This window comes from Homo sapiens, chromosome 20 (genome assembly GCF_000001405.40).
Source record: "Homo sapiens chromosome 20, GRCh38.p14 Primary Assembly".
NCBI lineage: Eukaryota > Metazoa > Chordata > Mammalia > Primates > Hominidae > Homo > Homo sapiens.
The window spans coordinates 6,763,585-6,780,637 of NC_000020.11; the positions used below are offsets into that span (position 1 = coordinate 6,763,585).

General features: G+C 43.4%; 1 protein-coding gene and 1 long non-coding RNA gene across 3 annotated transcripts, besides 9 other annotated features; one reads left to right on the forward strand and one right to left on the reverse strand.

The window, feature by feature from the left end:
- Positions 278 to 5,156: a promoter, noted in NCBI's record as "SacI/SmaI fragment for 4.9 kb promoter". NCBI's record gives the evidence for it as "EXISTENCE:reporter gene assay evidence [ECO:0000049][PMID:10024520]".
- Positions 2,009 to 3,900, reverse strand: LOC105372517 (uncharacterized). 2 transcript variants are annotated; one of them, XR_937229.2, is made up of 4 exons: positions 3,737 to 3,900; positions 2,816 to 3,221; positions 2,268 to 2,424; positions 2,009 to 2,085 (listed from the first exon to the last, which is right to left on the reverse strand). It is a non-coding gene; the product is annotated as an uncharacterized LOC105372517 (long non-coding RNA). The 2 variants fall into 2 exon arrangements; XR_937228.2 differs by having other exon boundaries at positions 2,268 to 3,221.
- Positions 2,055 to 2,075: a protein binding site, noted in NCBI's record as "CBE; Cbfa1 binding element". NCBI's record gives the evidence for it as "EXISTENCE:protein binding evidence [ECO:0000024][PMID:11054542]".
- Positions 3,070 to 3,860: a transcriptional cis regulatory region, noted in NCBI's record as "MscI/PvuII fragment". NCBI's record gives its function as "negative regulation of promoter activity" and the evidence as "EXISTENCE:reporter gene assay evidence [ECO:0000049][PMID:10024520]".
- Positions 3,867 to 3,966: a transcriptional cis regulatory region, noted in NCBI's record as "-246 to -147". NCBI's record gives its function as "negative regulation of promoter activity" and the evidence as "EXISTENCE:reporter gene assay evidence [ECO:0000049][PMID:20060812]".
- Positions 3,966 to 4,607: a promoter, noted in NCBI's record as "construct E; -147 to +494". NCBI's record gives the evidence for it as "EXISTENCE:reporter gene assay evidence [ECO:0000049][PMID:20060812]".
- Positions 3,997 to 5,156: a promoter, noted in NCBI's record as "BamHI/SmaI fragment for -1143 promoter". NCBI's record gives the evidence for it as "EXISTENCE:reporter gene assay evidence [ECO:0000049][PMID:10024520]".
- Positions 4,046 to 4,095: a silencer, noted in NCBI's record as "silent region_12664". NCBI's record gives its function as "represses an Ori minimal core promoter by ATAC-STARR-seq in GM12878 lymphoblastoid cells {active_cell/tissue: GM12878}" and the evidence as "EXISTENCE:reporter gene assay evidence [ECO:0000049][PMID:35858748]".
- BMP2 (bone morphogenetic protein 2) lies at positions 4,102 to 16,662 on the forward strand. Its single transcript, NM_001200.4, has 3 exons — positions 4,102 to 5,291; positions 6,536 to 6,888; positions 14,661 to 16,662. Exons 2-3 carry the CDS (start codon positions 6,543 to 6,545, stop codon positions 15,503 to 15,505), a joined length of 1,191 nt encoding a protein of 396 aa, NP_001191.1. The 5' UTR covers positions 4,102 to 5,291; positions 6,536 to 6,542; the 3' UTR covers positions 15,506 to 16,662.
- Positions 4,186 to 4,235: a silencer, noted in NCBI's record as "silent region_12665". NCBI's record gives its function as "represses an Ori minimal core promoter by ATAC-STARR-seq in GM12878 lymphoblastoid cells {active_cell/tissue: GM12878}" and the evidence as "EXISTENCE:reporter gene assay evidence [ECO:0000049][PMID:35858748]".
- Positions 4,607 to 4,781: a transcriptional cis regulatory region, noted in NCBI's record as "+494 to +675". NCBI's record gives its function as "negative regulation of promoter activity; may block response to an enhancer" and the evidence as "EXISTENCE:reporter gene assay evidence [ECO:0000049][PMID:20060812]".

Below are 17,053 nucleotides of genomic sequence, written 5' to 3' on the forward strand. Positions count from 1 at the left end.
GTAATACAAATTTGCAACCTTTTGTTGTCTTCACACATATCTTCTCATTTATTCTTCACAACCTCCATGAGAAGTCAACTGTTAGTCTCTATAGAGTATTCATGAGGGAGCCGAGGCTATGAGAATTTGTTACTGCCATAGATCAGAGGTCCCCAACCCCCGGGCCATGAATAGTACTTGTCCATGGCCTGTTAGGAACCCCCAGGGGCAGGTGAGGGAGCATTACTGCCTGAGCTCTGCCTCCTGTCAGATCAGCAGCAGCATTAGATTCTCATAGGAGCTCAAACCCTACTGTGAACTGCATGTATGAGGGATCTAGGTTGCATGCTCCTTATGAGAACCTAACTAATGCCTGACGATCTGACGTGGAACCGTTTCATCCTGAAACCATCACCCCCAACCTGGTCTGTAGAAAAATTTTCCTCCACAAAACTGGTCCCTGGTGCCAAAATGGTTGGGGACCTCTGCTTTAGATTGACTGACCCAACTGGTGGCCTTTCTGATGAAATATCCACTGTTTGGCAATATAATAAAAGCTGGGAGAAGAGAAGGAGAAGGAGGAGAAAGAGGAGGAGAAGAAAGGCATCCAAAGTCCTATTTCTTAAAACCAGGCCATATTGCAGACAGAAGGCCAAAGAATACATTTGAAGATACATAGAGTGAGTAGCAATCAGAAACTAAGTTCACACATGTTATCCATTTGACCTTCATCATGTCAGTCTGAAGCAAGCAAACATATATTTATTTACCCCAATTAACAGATGAAATGACCATTTTAAAGTCAGTCATCCATGACAGAACCAGGAATTAGAACCCAGGTCACCCAACTACATCTTAGAGTGTTATCAACATAGTTTACAGACATAACTTAAGGTGTACATCTTAAACTGTGTGACAGTCTAATCAATGCACAAAATTCATTCTTTTTAATTTTTAAGAAGATGTAGTTGGTACTTGCTGAAAGCAGTGATCCTGATTTGGCCAACTTGGCCTAGTTTCTGATATAAATCACTCCACCTCTCCCATCCTTTCTACCATGTCTAATCAAACACCAAAAAGGAAAACATTTGATTGACTAAATGCTTCTCTTTTGCCTTGGCTCCAAGTTCCTGTAAAAAAAACTTCATCCAGGTAAAGTAAGTAGGGATGGTTATGGGTGTCACCCTTGTAACAAAGCGATATGTATGCTAAAAAGCAAAGAGGGTTTCTCAGGGCAGTTGCCACAGGTTTCCATGGAATGACAATTACAAGGTAGATGGATCACGTAATGCCTGCTGTGAACTTTACAATACATGGGGATCACTATTTTAATGTTGATTTGCATAATGTTTGGCCTAGCAAGAACAATACTGAATGCTAATAGCTACAGAATGCAATAAAATGGAATATCATGTGAGCTGAAGTGCTAAAATTGCTAAAGTATGACTGTAAGCAGTTAATTTCATCCCGAGTCTTGTCCACACACAATCAAATGCAAATTTCCACTATCTCCTGAGAAACTGCCAAGAGATGACTGAAATGGAATAGCAACAACCTCCTTTATGTGGAATCATTATCTGGTCATCTTTGCTTTTTTACATAACTTGTCTGTACCCTCTGATGCATTTGAATTTGCAACTTCTACTATCCCTATCTTAAACAACTCCCCACTCCCACCTCTGCCCCTTCCACATTTGCTGGCAGATGCACTAAGTCTGATAAACTCAGCAAGACTGAATCTCACCCTCTGAACTGAAAAACTTTGAATGGACCTTTGAAAACGGTAGAATTGACAATGGTTAGCTGCAAGTGATATTTTCAAGGCAAACAGACACTCTCCCAAAGTATTAAATAACCCAGCATTCTAAGTTGCAGGTGGAAGGTAGCCATTAGTGAAGAGAGAGAAAAAAAAAAGAAATAGCTCGTCTGTATTTAGATTTATCATTTCTGACTATTGCTCTTCCCTGGAAAACGGGTAGGTACAGTCATCCTGTACTTCGATCCCAAATCAGTCTCTGGAGACTACTTATTTATTTATTTATTTATTTATGGACTTCTTTCTTTCAAGCGTTCGAACTCATTTCCACCACAAGAGGGCAGCCATCTCTAAAAAAAAAAAAATAGGGCCAAAATTTATGTAAGTTGTGCTTGGAACAAGCATTCAGTAGTTCCTCAGAAATCATACACCCTACATAAAAGAGATTCTGCAATGGGCAGCACTAACATGAAACAGTGTTCAGAAGTACCCATTTTCCCTCAGATTCTAAACTGACAAGGTTTCCACTTACCAGGTTATGAAGTTCTAAAGCTGCAAGACATCCTTGAGGTCATCACAGGATATTTATTTATTTTTTCTTCGGGTGCATCCAATAGTTATCAACTTTTCCTCCTCTTTAAAAGCTACTTAAATCTCATTGAAGTTTTGTTTTGTTTTGTTTTTGAAATCTAAGTAATGAGAGAAACAATTGTTAACTTCTCAATTAAACTTGATAGGAAAGGAAATAATTTCAGAAGCCCTGTGTCCATGAGTAGGATATGTTTTATTGCCTCCTTGTTTGCGGTGCAATGACTCTGAGTGACAATCAACTTCTATAGCACCTTTTTTTTTTTTTTCAGGAAATAAAGTAGCATGTTCCTGAATAATTCCCCCACCCCCTTTTATTTTCCTGGTAGTCAGGCTTCCTCCAAAATACCTTATTTGACCTTTATACCTTTAGAAACAGCAAGTGCCTAATTCGCCTCTGTGGGTTGCTAATCCGATTTACGTGAGCGGAACCTAGTATTATTTTAGCTCCCCTACCGAAAAAATAATACACATGGATAATAGTTCTATTACCAGCTCCTGCTTCTGACTTTTTTCTCTCTGTTTCGCAGGCCCGATAGCTCTGGGAAAGCAGAACTTGGCCTTTTCCAAAAATTTTCTGCCCTTGGTTTTGGGGATCATTTGGGCAAGCCCGAGGTGCTGTGCATGGGGGCTCCTGGAATCCTGGGAAGGGCAGAAAGCCTTGGCCCCAGACTCATCGTGCAGCAGCTCTGAGCAGTATTTCGGCTGAGGAGTGACTTCAGTGAATATTCAGCTGAGGAGTGACTTGGCCACGTGTCACAGCCCTACTTCTTGGGGGCCTGGTGGAAGAGGGTGGCGTAGAAGGTTCCAAGGTCCCAAACTGGAATTGTCCTGTATGCTTGGTTCACACAGTGCGTTATTTTACCTTCCTCTGAGCTGCTAATCGCCTGCCTCTGAGCTGGGTGAGATAAATATCACAAGGCACAAAGTGATTGTACAATAAAAAAATCAAATCCCTCCCATCCATCCTTCAGTCTGCCACACACGCAGTCTACGTTACACACATGTCACGTAAAGCAGGATGACATCCATGTCACATACATAGACATATTAACCGAAATGTGGCCCTTCGGTTGCATATATTCTCATACATGAATATATTTATAGAAATATATGCACATATTTTTGTATATTGGATATATTTATGTAACTATAAATTTACATGCGTATGGATATGAAAATAAATGCATACACATTTATGTAAAAAAATTTGTACACATGCATTTACATATGTAAATACATACATCTCTATGTATTAATGTTTAAAAACACTCAATTTCCAGCCTGCTGTTTTCTTTTAATTTTCCTCCTATTCCGGGGAAACAGAAGCGTGGATCCCACGTCTATGCTATGCCAAAATACGCTGTAATTGAGGTGTTTTGTTTTGTTTTGTTTTTTGAAATCGTATATTACCGAAAAACTTCAAACTGAAAGTTGAATAACGGGCCCAGCGGGGAAATAAGAGGCCAGACCCTGACCCTGCATTTGTCCTGGATTTCGCCTCCAGAGTCCCCGCGAGGGTCCGGCGCGCCAGCTGATCTCTCCTTTGAGAGCAGGGAGTGGAGGCGCGAGCGCCCCCCTTGGCGGCCGCGCGCCCCCGCCCTCCGCCCCACCCCGCCGCGGCTGCCCGGGCGCGCCGTCCACACCCCTGCGCGCAGCTCCCGCCCGCTCGGGGATCCCCGGCGAGCCGCGCCGCGAAGGGGGAGGTGTTCGGCCGCGGCCGGGAGGGAGCCGGCAGGCGGCGTCCCCTTTAAAAGCCGCGAGCGCCGCGCCACGGCGCCGCCGCCGCCGTCGCCGCCGCCGGAGTCCTCGCCCCGCCGCGCTGCGCCCGGCTCGCGCTGCGCTAGTCGCTCCGCTTCCCACACCCCGCCGGGGACTGGCAGCCGCCGCCGCACATCTGCCGCCACAGCCTCCGCCGGCTACCCGAACGTTCTCGGGGCCAGCGCCGAGTGGATCACCGGGGACCGCGAGGCACCCGCGCGCCGCAGACCCCGCGCGGGCTGGAGCACCCGGCAGAGCGCGCCACAGCGCCGTGGCCTCTGCTGCCCGGGCTGCGCCAGAGCCGCGGACGGGCGCGCAGAGCGCCGGGGACTCCGGAGCCGATCCCTAGCGCCGCGATGCGGAGCACCTACTGCAGGAGATCGGGGGCCTGGGACGCGCTGGCCGAGGTGTGATCGGACCCCAGGCTAGCCACAAAGGGCACTTGGCCCCAGGGCTAGGAGAGCGAGGGGAGAGCACAGCCACCCGCCTCGGCGGCCCGGGACTCGGCTCGACTCGCCGGAGAATGCGCCCGAGGACGACGGGGCGCCAGAGCCGCGGTGCTTTCAACTGGCGAGCGCGAATGGGGGTGCACTGGAGTAAGGCAGAGTGATGCGGGGGGGCAACTCGCCTGGCACCGAGATCGCCGCCGTGCCCTTCCCTGGACCCGGCGTCGCCCAGGATGGCTGCCCCGAGCCATGGGCCGCGGCGGAGCTAGCGCGGAGCGCCCGACCCTCGACCCCCGAGTCCCGGAGCCGGCCCCGCGCGGGGCCACGCGTCCCTCGGGCGCTGGTTCCTAAGGAGGACGACAGCACCAGCTTCTCCTTTCTCCCTTCCCTTCCCTGCCCCGCACTCCTCCCCCTGCTCGCTGTTGTTGTGTGTCAGCACTTGGCTGGGGACTTCTTGAACTTGCAGGGAGAATAACTTGCGCACCCCACTTTGCGCCGGTGCCTTTGCCCCAGCGGAGCCTGCTTCGCCATCTCCGAGCCCCACCGCCCCTCCACTCCTCGGCCTTGCCCGACACTGAGACGCTGTTCCCAGCGTGAAAAGAGAGACTGCGCGGCCGGCACCCGGGAGAAGGAGGAGGCAAAGAAAAGGAACGGACATTCGGTCCTTGCGCCAGGTCCTTTGACCAGAGTTTTTCCATGTGGACGCTCTTTCAATGGACGTGTCCCCGCGTGCTTCTTAGACGGACTGCGGTCTCCTAAAGGTAGAGGACGCGGGCCAGGGCCCGGGGTGGGTGGTGGGTGGGAGGGGGATTTGGGCAGCCACTGCGGTAGAGCCCTTCCTTACGTCCAGGCCAGAAGTAAACAGACCCCTCTCCAGTCCACGTGCAACGGAGCCCTGCAGGGGCTCCCACTTCCAGCTGCCCCGGGCGACCGTAAGCCTCACCCTCCCGGCCCGCACTCTTCCACCCCTCTTTCTTCCCCTCTCCCTGGAATACTTTTGGAGCTGTTAACACTTAGATGAGGTGTTTTATTTATTTATTTATTTATTTTTAATTTTTTTAAAAACTTTTTTGGGTCAAAGAAATCCCTTTGAGAGGGTAGCCCCTGGGTTTCACCCGTTAGCTGAGAACCTGTCCGCTCTGCCATGGTGATCTCCATTCTTCAAGTGTTTCCGGGAGACTTGGTTTCTTTGCTCAGAGCCGTGTCCCATTTAGGAAAGTACTAGGAGTTTGGGGTTCTCCCTACTTGTTTCCAGAAATGCGAGGGGTCAGTACTGAAGGATCACTTGGTACTGTGTTTTTAACAGCTGACACGTGCATTAATAGATATTCACCATTTACGTAATCCCGGGAAGATACATGTGTATCTTGACTGCACTGTGGGGATGCGGGATGGAGCTGCCTTTCGAGACACCCCTGAGGGTAGGGGCCTGGGACACAAGTCATAAGTGGCTTCAGAAGTTGTGGCCTTGAGCTTACAGGGTCTGGAAGCTATAAGGGTGTGTGTGTGTGTGTGTGTGTGTGTGTGTGTGTGTCAGGAAGTTCTATACAGTGCCTCTAAGGAAGTCACATGCACCATTTATGTGTGTTTATATGCCAGACAGCGCTCAGCACTCCGCATTTGGGTTTGTATAGGGGACGCAGGGTGTCAGATCAAGCGGTGGTTTTCCCAGGTTCCCGGCATTGGCTGTCAGCGCTGTGTCACACACAAAAAAGTGACAGTCATTGGCGCTGGTTTGGTTGGGGGGGAGGGCAAATCCCAAATCTGATGTCAGACGAGCTAAGCGTTGGATGGGAGCGATAAATCATCTGGTTCAGGAACTTGGGACCCTTCATTATCCCAAACGTTTGAGCTTCGGTCGGTCTTACCTAGACTCGTGAGTGTGCCAAGCCAGGAGGGCATCCTGGAGGAGGCACGCCAGCCAAATGGGAGACCGGGCCGCGGGGGCGCGAGGGGGGAGGACTGGGCGGGGAACTCGGGTGACTCACGTCGGTCCTGTCCGCAGGTCGACCATGGTGGCCGGGACCCGCTGTCTTCTAGCGTTGCTGCTTCCCCAGGTCCTCCTGGGCGGCGCGGCTGGCCTCGTTCCGGAGCTGGGCCGCAGGAAGTTCGCGGCGGCGTCGTCGGGCCGCCCCTCATCCCAGCCCTCTGACGAGGTCCTGAGCGAGTTCGAGTTGCGGCTGCTCAGCATGTTCGGCCTGAAACAGAGACCCACCCCCAGCAGGGACGCCGTGGTGCCCCCCTACATGCTAGACCTGTATCGCAGGCACTCAGGTCAGCCGGGCTCACCCGCCCCAGACCACCGGTTGGAGAGGGCAGCCAGCCGAGCCAACACTGTGCGCAGCTTCCACCATGAAGGTGAGGCATGGAGCAGGGCGTGGGGGCGGGGAGTCACCCTGCAAAGCCCTCCACCGTGGGCAGACTGCAGCCGTCCCTGTAGAGGCAGCTTGGCCGGGGCACCAGCGGACGTTTCCACTCTTGCTTCTGTACTATCGTTTCTGAATCTGATTTTAACTCACTGCTTGTGTGGTGGGGGAGCCAGGGATTCCCCTTTAGTAACTCCGCACCCTCTTCCTGGCTTGCAGCCAGAAGAGCTACTCCTCCTGGAAGAATTGGAGAGAAATCAAGTGATGGGGAAGATGAGGGCAAAAGGCATGCCTCTAGTCAGCTAAACGTGCAAGAATTCCACAGAGGGAAAAGGAGAAAAAGGGAGGCAGATTGAGATTTCTTTAAGTCTGTTTGGAAGCTTTTGCTCTATAAATCTGCCGCTTAAGCCAGGGTTTTAGGGTAGACAGAGCCAAGGGCAGAGTTTTCAGAGATAGTATTGAAAAATCAAAGCCCAGGGCCCCAAAGTCTTTCTAATTTATAGTTGATCTGGGCCTGGTTTGGAAGATTTTGAATCCCAATCTAATCCCCGTGGGAGATCAATACTACAATCAATCTTATTGTTTCCACAATGACTTTCTTGTCCTGTGCTTAAATCTGAGATAGGCTCTGAGTAGAGACAAGGCAAGCCTTCAGATAAAAGCGTTTGTAGCAGCTGCCTGTTTTTTTTTCATGTGCACCGAAATGTGGATTTTTTTTTCTTTTATGATACTACATGTGGTTTTTCTAAGGTGGGATATTTCTGCTTGTTTCATCAGAAGGGCATTTAGTGGACTGGAAATGTCTTACAGCAGCTATTGAGGTCTGCTGTACCTAAGTTCTTAGAGCAATTAGTCAAAAATATGTTCCACTTCAATTCTTTTTCTACACTTTTAAATGCTTCTTTGGCTTAATACATTTAAAATAGAGCATGGGTTTCTTCAATTCCTAGAAAAGAGTACAAAAGTGTATATCACAGAGCAACCACTTGGCAGATATTTGGGGAGTTGGGAGTGAAGTTCTCTTTCTTGCCTTTCCCTGCTTAGGTGGTAAATTTCAAGTGGGAAATTTACACTGATAATAGACTAATGGGAAATGGCACTTCCAGATGTTTTCTCCCAGTGTGAAGGGTGACTTATACTTGTGAGAGTATTTGTTGGTAATGGGAATAAGTCCCAAAGGCAAGCCACATAGCAGAAGATACGTTCTCATTGAGGCAGCTACACATTACGACGGGGACACTGAATTGATCATCAGTTCATTTACAAGCACATTTCTAAGTGAGGTGCTCTCTGCTAGCAGAAATCAGATTTGAAAGGCAGTAAGATCTCACTCCACTCTTTCAGAATTCATCCAATGAAAGCAGAAATCACCTGTTGTCATATGTAAAATTTGTGTGTATGTGTACATTCTGCCATCTTAACCCTGAAATGATTATAGATCCAGCTAATCATTCCCAGGTAATGCTGATTAGAATACTTTTTTTTTTGTATAGGAATGTAATAAGAACAACTGTTTTAGACACCTCTTCTGGAAATTTAGCATGGAAGCTCTCAACTTTATTTTTAAGGCCTGGAAGATGCTGTGTCTCTGTTACAACTTAAAAGGAAGATCATTTAAGTTAGTTAACACCTAAAACATTCCATTGTGTGAGGATTTTATCAGTGATGTCTGCATATTCTCATCATTCATCTAGAAGTGGTTTGATCAGAACTAAACAGGCTACACGTTATTCAACTGTGTTATTTTAACTTAAAAAGCATGCTTGAGTTTATAAAATCAGAATTTATATCTTTGTGAGTGTAAATGTTACCTGAGAAACAGTACAGAAGTGACCAACTTGATTAAAATCAACTTGTAATAACTTCAGGTCTTAATGCAGTTAGATAATGGAGAAAAGCTATGTAATTTTGCCCCAAATTTCAACTAATCCATTTCTTGTCTCATTATGACTAATATATCATCCTTAATCTGGATGGATATAGCACTTTTTTCAAGACTAATCATTGTTGTATACACCCAGGATTTGCTTTTGATAAACATCCTTGTGCCATGCATGCCACGAAAAAAGTTTTTGGTAAACCATGTGATGAAGGTTGCTGGCTCAAGAACAGAATTTAGTTTCTACAGCATTAATGAGCATTTATTTGAAAAAAGACCATAAAGACCCAATCATAAGAATTACCTGTTGGGTTTTCTTTGTAGGTGTGATCGAATGGTTTGGTGGAATTACTCGACGAGATATCATGATAGCATTCTTTCAACCAATATGAGTATAATGCGACCATATCATAGGGGATCTGAGACAGAATTATCAGTTGTATTTTTCCTATTGAATTTTGTCTAGTCCTTTCTCCAGTGGCTTTTATTTGGGAGAATATCAGCTTTGCTAAAATGTTATTGTTTTCAAGATCATTAAAAAGTGCTTCAGCTACATAGACCTTTGGAAACTGCCATTGAACATAGAAAAGTCAGTTCTGCAAGTGGAAAGAGTGTTTTGTGTATTGCTGTAGTTGGAAACACATTGAAACTGGTTGACTTCACTGGCCCTCCAAAAAGTCTTTATGCTTTTTTGTCAGATGGGAGAGAGAAAGACCAGGTGCTTCTTGTTCTCCTCACTCTGAAGGACACAGTCTTCTTTCTACATGAAATAACTGGATTATTTGCCTCTGTGACTGAAGCTTTCAAATAGAGATTAACCCTCTTTCCACAAATATAATTATTATGAAAATATCCATATAATAGAAAAGTTCAAGAAATAACTATTGCCCTGCATTAGAGACTTTGTGGCACAAATTCCCCCGTGCAAACAACAGATTTGGACACATAGATCCACCAAAACCAATACTTACCTGGTATGGTTCCCTAGTGGCCCCAGGTATTTCATTGTCATTACAGAGGCCACATTAAGTAGGAAAATTACTCTATTTGGAAATGGTTGTTGAGATTGAGGCTTTGGTGTCCAGTGATACTTCCTTGGCACTGACATTTTCCGTTCCACCTGTTTTTTAGTGGTTCCCCTAAATTTCTCTTAATCCCTTTGCAGTGAACTATTTTGCGTTCTTAGACTTGCTCTTTGTGTATTTTCACTGAGACAATAAGAGAATATTTCATCATTCCGAAGGTGTTGGTGTTAAGGGTGGGCAGAGGCCAAATCAGGGTTGTTGATGACAACCATGCTCTCTATTCCTTTATTTGCCATTCCCTTGTTGTATTTTTTTTAAAATGGAATGTTTTTAACCTTTTGTATTTGATATTTTTTTTCTCCTTGATCAGTTGTCTGTTATTTTATTATCTGGAAAATCTTATATTATACTCAGCCTCTTTCATTTTGTGTTAGGGCAGTGACTTCCAGCCTTACTGATTGCCAGCATATCCCCAGGTTTTGTTGTTGTTGTTGTTGTTTTACTGGAGATTTTTTAGCCCAAAGTGTGTTTTAAAATCCTCGAAGCATAACGGTAACTTACTTTTTTGATAAAACTTACCATACTTTATTTAGAACAAAAGGGCAGCCACAAAATAGCAGTGGCTCCTTATAAAATAGACACATTCCAGTGGGCCCCGTCACTTTTCTGCTCATTTCTGTCTGTTCTGTCCATCATACCTAAGTCATATATTTCTGTTCATTTAGTTGGGACAGAACTCACCCAATGTTATCATTGTACTAAATATAAATGTGCCCCTAATGGTTTTGACTTTTGCTTAAGTTTTTGAGTCCTCATGTATGTTAGGTAGTGCCATCTAGTAGCCAGAAATTTGGGAACTGGCTGGGCATGATGGCTAATACCTGTAATCCCAGCACTTTGGGAGGCTTAGGTGGGTGGATCACTTGAGGTCAGGAGTTCCAGACCAGCCTGGCCAACATGGTGAAACCACATCTCTACTAAAATATAAAAAAATAGCCAGGTATGATGGCCCATGCCTGTAATCCGAGCTAATTGGGAGGCTGAGATGGGAGGACTGCTTGAACCTGGGAGGTGGAGGCTGCTGTGAGCCAAGATTGTGCCACTGCACTCCAGCCTGGGCAACAGAGTGAGACCCTGTGTCACAAAAACAAGAAACAAAACAAAACAAAAGACAAGAAACCTGAGAAGCGCAGTAGATTCAATTATATATATCTACTTTTAATTTGCTAGCTCTGTGACCTTAGGAAAGTTACATAACCTCTCTGAACTGCAACTGTTTCATTTACAAAATGGAGATAATGATAGTTTTTCTCTAATTGGTTTGTTGTGAGATAATTCATATAAAGCTGATGGTGCCAGATTACACTCAAAAAAAGCATTCAGCTGTCATTATCATTATGACTTCTTTTGTTAATGTTATAGCCTTTCCTTCTCTAGGGAAAAGGAGGCCAGAGTGGACCTAGGCTGACTGAGAGAATTCAGCTCAGTCTTTTGAATTATTTTGAGGTAGAGGAATGATTGATATAGTATAGATTATTAAATTAGGACTTCACTTTTGGAGAAAAGTTCAGATATCATTGTTGTCTTATTTTTCTTCACTTTCCCACATTTTTGCAGCCATAGCTCCATCCATTTGGTTAAGAACTTAGAAGCTCACAAACTCGGGTCAAAGACAGGTCGAAATCCTCAAATCCCTTAAGAACTTCAGCTTATTCAGGAAGGGATATTTACAGAAAACTAGCAATTGTATAAGTCTCCAAAAAAGCATACATTACTTGAGGATCCATATATTTTTGGCATCCTCAGGGTTGCTGTGATGATTTATAGAAGGTTTGTTTATTTAATTTACTTTATTTCAAATAGGTTTTAATTTTTGTACCCTTAAGAAAAGATTCGTACTCTTCCCTGGCAGATTAAAGAAAATGAGCGTATATTCCCTAACCTTGGCCAGTTACTTTCCTGGGTTTGAGGGTTTCTGTGAACGTCTAACTTACCTCTGTGACCTGTTTCTGCAACCAGGGGTGTTGCAATGGATGCTTTTGTCTTGAGGATGGGACCTTTCAAGAAACAGATTCACTGAGGTGCAGTGGGAAGGTCAGAGAAAGATCTTCGTATCGCCTATTATTATTTGCTCGTCTATTTTTTCTCCTTTCTTAAGGCCACTAACTGATTCTCCTTTGCTAAGGCTGCCTACTTCCACTGAGACCTTGAACCACATGAAATTGTTGTTGTCTGTGTTTCTGGTCAAATAGTGGCAATTTTGTATGATTCAATCTTGTCATTTAATTTTTTGGGAGGTTATTATTCTATTTCATACCTTTTTTATACCCATCTTCTTTACTTCATTTACCTGTCCCTCATACTTGACTTGTAGCTTGTCCCTTCACTGTCATCGTCTGGCCATGTGGGTGTGTACGTGTGTGCGAGAGAGAGAATGTGTGAGAATGTATGTTTCTTTATGCATTGGGATTTAGGGTTTTTCTTGCAATTGTGATTTCTCTGGGCACTTTTGTTAATATAGCTAGTCAGCGAGTGCTCTAGATAATTTTCCTTGCCTCCCCCTCTTTGAAAGAAAAGAGGGTGTTCTTAGATGTATTCTTATCAGATAAGCCAGTAGCTCAGGTGCTGGTCTGGCTTTGGTGTCATTGGGGTCTGAGGTTGCTGACTTTTACCTTCTCTGCTGAAAAATTACCTTCAGCAGAAACGTCTGAATTGCAAGGAGAAGGAGAAAAAAACAGGCCAAACACAGTCCTTGGTACTCCTTGGGAGCCACTGAGAAGAGTCCAGGTTCAAATGGTCAGAAGGTTATTTTAATGATTGTGTCTGGCCTAAAGTACCATTAGCTTCCAGTGGAGTTTAGAATGTGGATGGATCCTGAAAGGTATTCCCCAGAGGTTTGGATTAATAGGCACAAGGGAACCCTAAAGGACTCTATTGGCCTGATACTCCCCATATCCACGTAGAAGAGCTTTAGAAGAACCTTCTGTTCTGAGACCCTGGCTGGGCCCACCCAGAGCTGGCCCATTCAACTCTTACTCCTTTGCCACCACTAATGGTTCTTCTACTAGTTTTTATATTATTTAACAAAAAGGCACTTTAAAAATGCACTCCTGGCAATCTATACTGGAATATGAAAAACATGCTGCAAAACCTTGACACTCCAAGTGTGGTCTTACAGTTCCCAGAATCCCCTCCTTGAGGAGCTGCTAGAAATGCTGAATCTCAAGCATCTCCCCAGACCTACTGAATCAGAGCCTGCATCTGAAGCTTTACGGTGTACAAGCTGTTTTATGTGAAGGCTGAAGTTTGAAAAGCACTGCATTAAAGCGTTAGTTTGGTATAAACTGCCCTGACTGAACTTGGTGTGTCCACTTAGCTTGCATGATGACTGTTGCTTTGATGATGAAGGCTTACACGGGTAGATCCTTTGAGTGAGTGATCTGACATGATTCTCCTTTGCTAAGGCATCTAGATTCAGTGCACAACTTACAGCTGTTTGTCTTTAGGGGAAATACAACTGTAAAATTAATAAAAACATAGTCTCTTCTTATGATAACATGGAACGATGGCAAAATAGATTTTGTTAGCACTTGGGTAGGAATTCTGAATGAAGCAGGCAAATTCTGTTGGCAGTGAAATGATAGGATGTGGTAAAGTTAGAATAAAATAAACTTAAATGTCTCAAACTCTCATGGTATATACTACCAGTTTAATAATAATGTTGTACCTTTGATGATTTGCAGACTACAAGCATTCAAGGTGCTGTGTTATATATTACTTGCTTGGAGAATAATACTTCTTAAAAATTGAAATTCAGAAATTTTAAATCAGACAAAGCTTTTGTGCATGGCCCACTTAAATGGCTATTTTGAAATAATGATAGTGGATATAGAAGGATTATTCTGTAATAGGATGAGACTGTTCCTTTTGTCATGGAGATCATAATCATATTTTTGTAAATTTTTATTATTTTTTTGGTTTTGTGTCCATCCTGCACACTATTACTGGGTAGGTACATGGTTTTTTAACATGGTTTATCTTTCAAAACTATAAAGGCATTGCAAACAGAAGACAGGTCATTTATTTTTCTTCCAAAAGCATCTAAAATGAGATTTTGATATTTGAGGTCATAAAGAGGTGAGAGAACAGACAACAGTTGGGAAAGCTATTTCTCTTGAAATTGTTTGGCCTTAATTACTACAGTGTCCTAGTACCACCCATACGTTTCCAAAGAAGTAGATCCCTGTAAATGCCTTTGTCTCTGGACTTTTGAGTAAAATAGTAGGGTGTGCTTTGCAAAATGTCATCGTTGATGTTGAGTTTCAGAGTCTTTAATTAGGAAGCTGAAATCTGTATATCGAGATTTGTAAATCATCTAAATTGCAGAGTAATGTTTTAGAATACTGCTTAAGGGATTGGCATTAAAGCCTTTTTTAAAAAAGAAATGCAATAATTTCCTCAAATCCTCACTCATTAGACCTCTACTAACTATAGTGCTGACTTTTTTTTTTTTTTACCCTAAAGTCTGGAATTCCAAAGAAATGCTTCACCATTTCCCCCATTATTATAGCCACCTGGAAGCAGTATTCATGTATTAGATCAAAAACACAACAAAGAATTATGAAAGGTTGTTTCCTGGTATGCAATGCATGATGACATGAACTTACAGAACAGAGAGAAGGGAGGCTCCATGTTTATTTAAAGAGGAAATTTTTATTTTCTGGTTACCTACTTTTACATGGGTTACATCAAATCCCACGATGAGGTTTAAAAATTCTCATAGATAATCAAACGTCATTACTTGGCTTACTGAAATTCAGACTTTTCTTTTTTCTTCCCTGTTTTTCTCTATCAAATTAGAATCTTTGGAAGAACTACCAGAAACGAGTGGGAAAACAACCCGGAGATTCTTCTTTAATTTAAGTTCTATCCCCACGGAGGAGTTTATCACCTCAGCAGAGCTTCAGGTTTTCCGAGAACAGATGCAAGATGCTTTAGGAAACAATAGCAGTTTCCATCACCGAATTAATATTTATGAAATCATAAAACCTGCAACAGCCAACTCGAAATTCCCCGTGACCAGACTTTTGGACACCAGGTTGGTGAATCAGAATGCAAGCAGGTGGGAAAGTTTTGATGTCACCCCCGCTGTGATGCGGTGGACTGCACAGGGACACGCCAACCATGGATTCGTGGTGGAAGTGGCCCACTTGGAGGAGAAACAAGGTGTCTCCAAGAGACATGTTAGGATAAGCAGGTCTTTGCACCAAGATGAACACAGCTGGTCACAGATAAGGCCATTGCTAGTAACTTTTGGCCATGATGGAAAAGGGCATCCTCTCCACAAAAGAGAAAAACGTCAAGCCAAACACAAACAGCGGAAACGCCTTAAGTCCAGCTGTAAGAGACACCCTTTGTACGTGGACTTCAGTGACGTGGGGTGGAATGACTGGATTGTGGCTCCCCCGGGGTATCACGCCTTTTACTGCCACGGAGAATGCCCTTTTCCTCTGGCTGATCATCTGAACTCCACTAATCATGCCATTGTTCAGACGTTGGTCAACTCTGTTAACTCTAAGATTCCTAAGGCATGCTGTGTCCCGACAGAACTCAGTGCTATCTCGATGCTGTACCTTGACGAGAATGAAAAGGTTGTATTAAAGAACTATCAGGACATGGTTGTGGAGGGTTGTGGGTGTCGCTAGTACAGCAAAATTAAATACATAAATATATATATATATATATATTTTAGAAAAAAGAAAAAAACAAACAAACAAAAAAACCCCACCCCAGTTGACACTTTAATATTTCCCAATGAAGACTTTATTTATGGAATGGAATGGAAAAAAAAACAGCTATTTTGAAAATATATTTATATCTACGAAAAGAAGTTGGGAAAACAAATATTTTAATCAGAGAATTATTCCTTAAAGATTTAAAATGTATTTAGTTGTACATTTTATATGGGTTCAACCCCAGCACATGAAGTATAATGGTCAGATTTATTTTGTATTTATTTACTATTATAACCACTTTTTAGGAAAAAAATAGCTAATTTGTATTTATATGTAATCAAAAGAAGTATCGGGTTTGTACATAATTTTCCAAAAATTGTAGTTGTTTTCAGTTGTGTGTATTTAAGATGAAAAGTCTACATGGAAGGTTACTCTGGCAAAGTGCTTAGCACGTTTGCTTTTTTGCAGTGCTACTGTTGAGTTCACAAGTTCAAGTCCAGAAAAAAAAAGTGGATAATCCACTCTGCTGACTTTCAAGATTATTATATTATTCAATTCTCAGGAATGTTGCAGAGTGATTGTCCAATCCATGAGAATTTACATCCTTATTAGGTGGAATATTTGGATAAGAACCAGACATTGCTGATCTATTATAGAAACTCTCCTCCTGCCCCTTAATTTACAGAAAGAATAAAGCAGGATCCATAGAAATAATTAGGAAAACGATGAACCTGCAGGAAAGTGAATGATGGTTTGTTGTTCTTCTTTCCTAAATTAGTGATCCCTTCAAAGGGGCTGATCTGGCCAAAGTATTCAATAAAACGTAAGATTTCTTCATTATTGATATTGTGGTCATATATATTTAAAATTGATATCTCGTGGCCCTCATCAAGGGTTGGAAATTTATTTGTGTTTTACCTTTACCTCATCTGAGAGCTCTTTATTCTCCAAAGAACCCAGTTTTCTAACTTTTTGCCCAACACGCAGCAAAATTATGCACATCGTGTTTTCTGCCCACCCTCTGTTCTCTGACCTATCAGCTTGCTTTTCTTTCCAAGGTTGTGTGTTTGAACACATTTCTCCAAATGTTAAACCTATTTCAGATAATAAATATCAAATCTCTGGCATTTCATTCTATAAAGTCCAACCTGTAAGAGAAAATGGTGCATTTGTATAGCGCTTACAATGATGACCTTGTGTTTGCATTTTTGTTTCTGAAGTTATATATTTTAGAGGGGGTGGGGGAAAGGTAATGAATGGCTGGAAAATTGCAGGCAAGTTATTTGATAAGTCATATTTGCACTAAAGGTGTTACCAGTGATTTAGTATTTTTCAAATGAACTTCTTTGGGGCAGAAAGATTTAAGGGAAAACTAAAGCCTACAAAACAAGCAAAACCTGGATAACCCGAGATAAAGTTTCAGAGATAATAGCCCATGCAACAGAGGCAACGGTGCCAGAAAATTAGAAAGGGAAAGTGTCGGAGATCAGCTTCTATAAGAACATCTGCCAGTTGGAC

Bases quoted from the DNA above. Each gene is read 5' to 3' on its own strand.
- BMP2 (NM_001200.4), top strand. From the start codon at position 6,543: ATGGTGGCCGGGACCCGCTGTCTTCTAGCGTTGCTGCTTCCCCAGGTC. The intron at 6,889-14,660 runs GTGAGGCATGGA...CTATCAAATTAG, and splicing joins GCGCAGCTTCCACCATGAAG to AATCTTTGGAAGAACTACCA.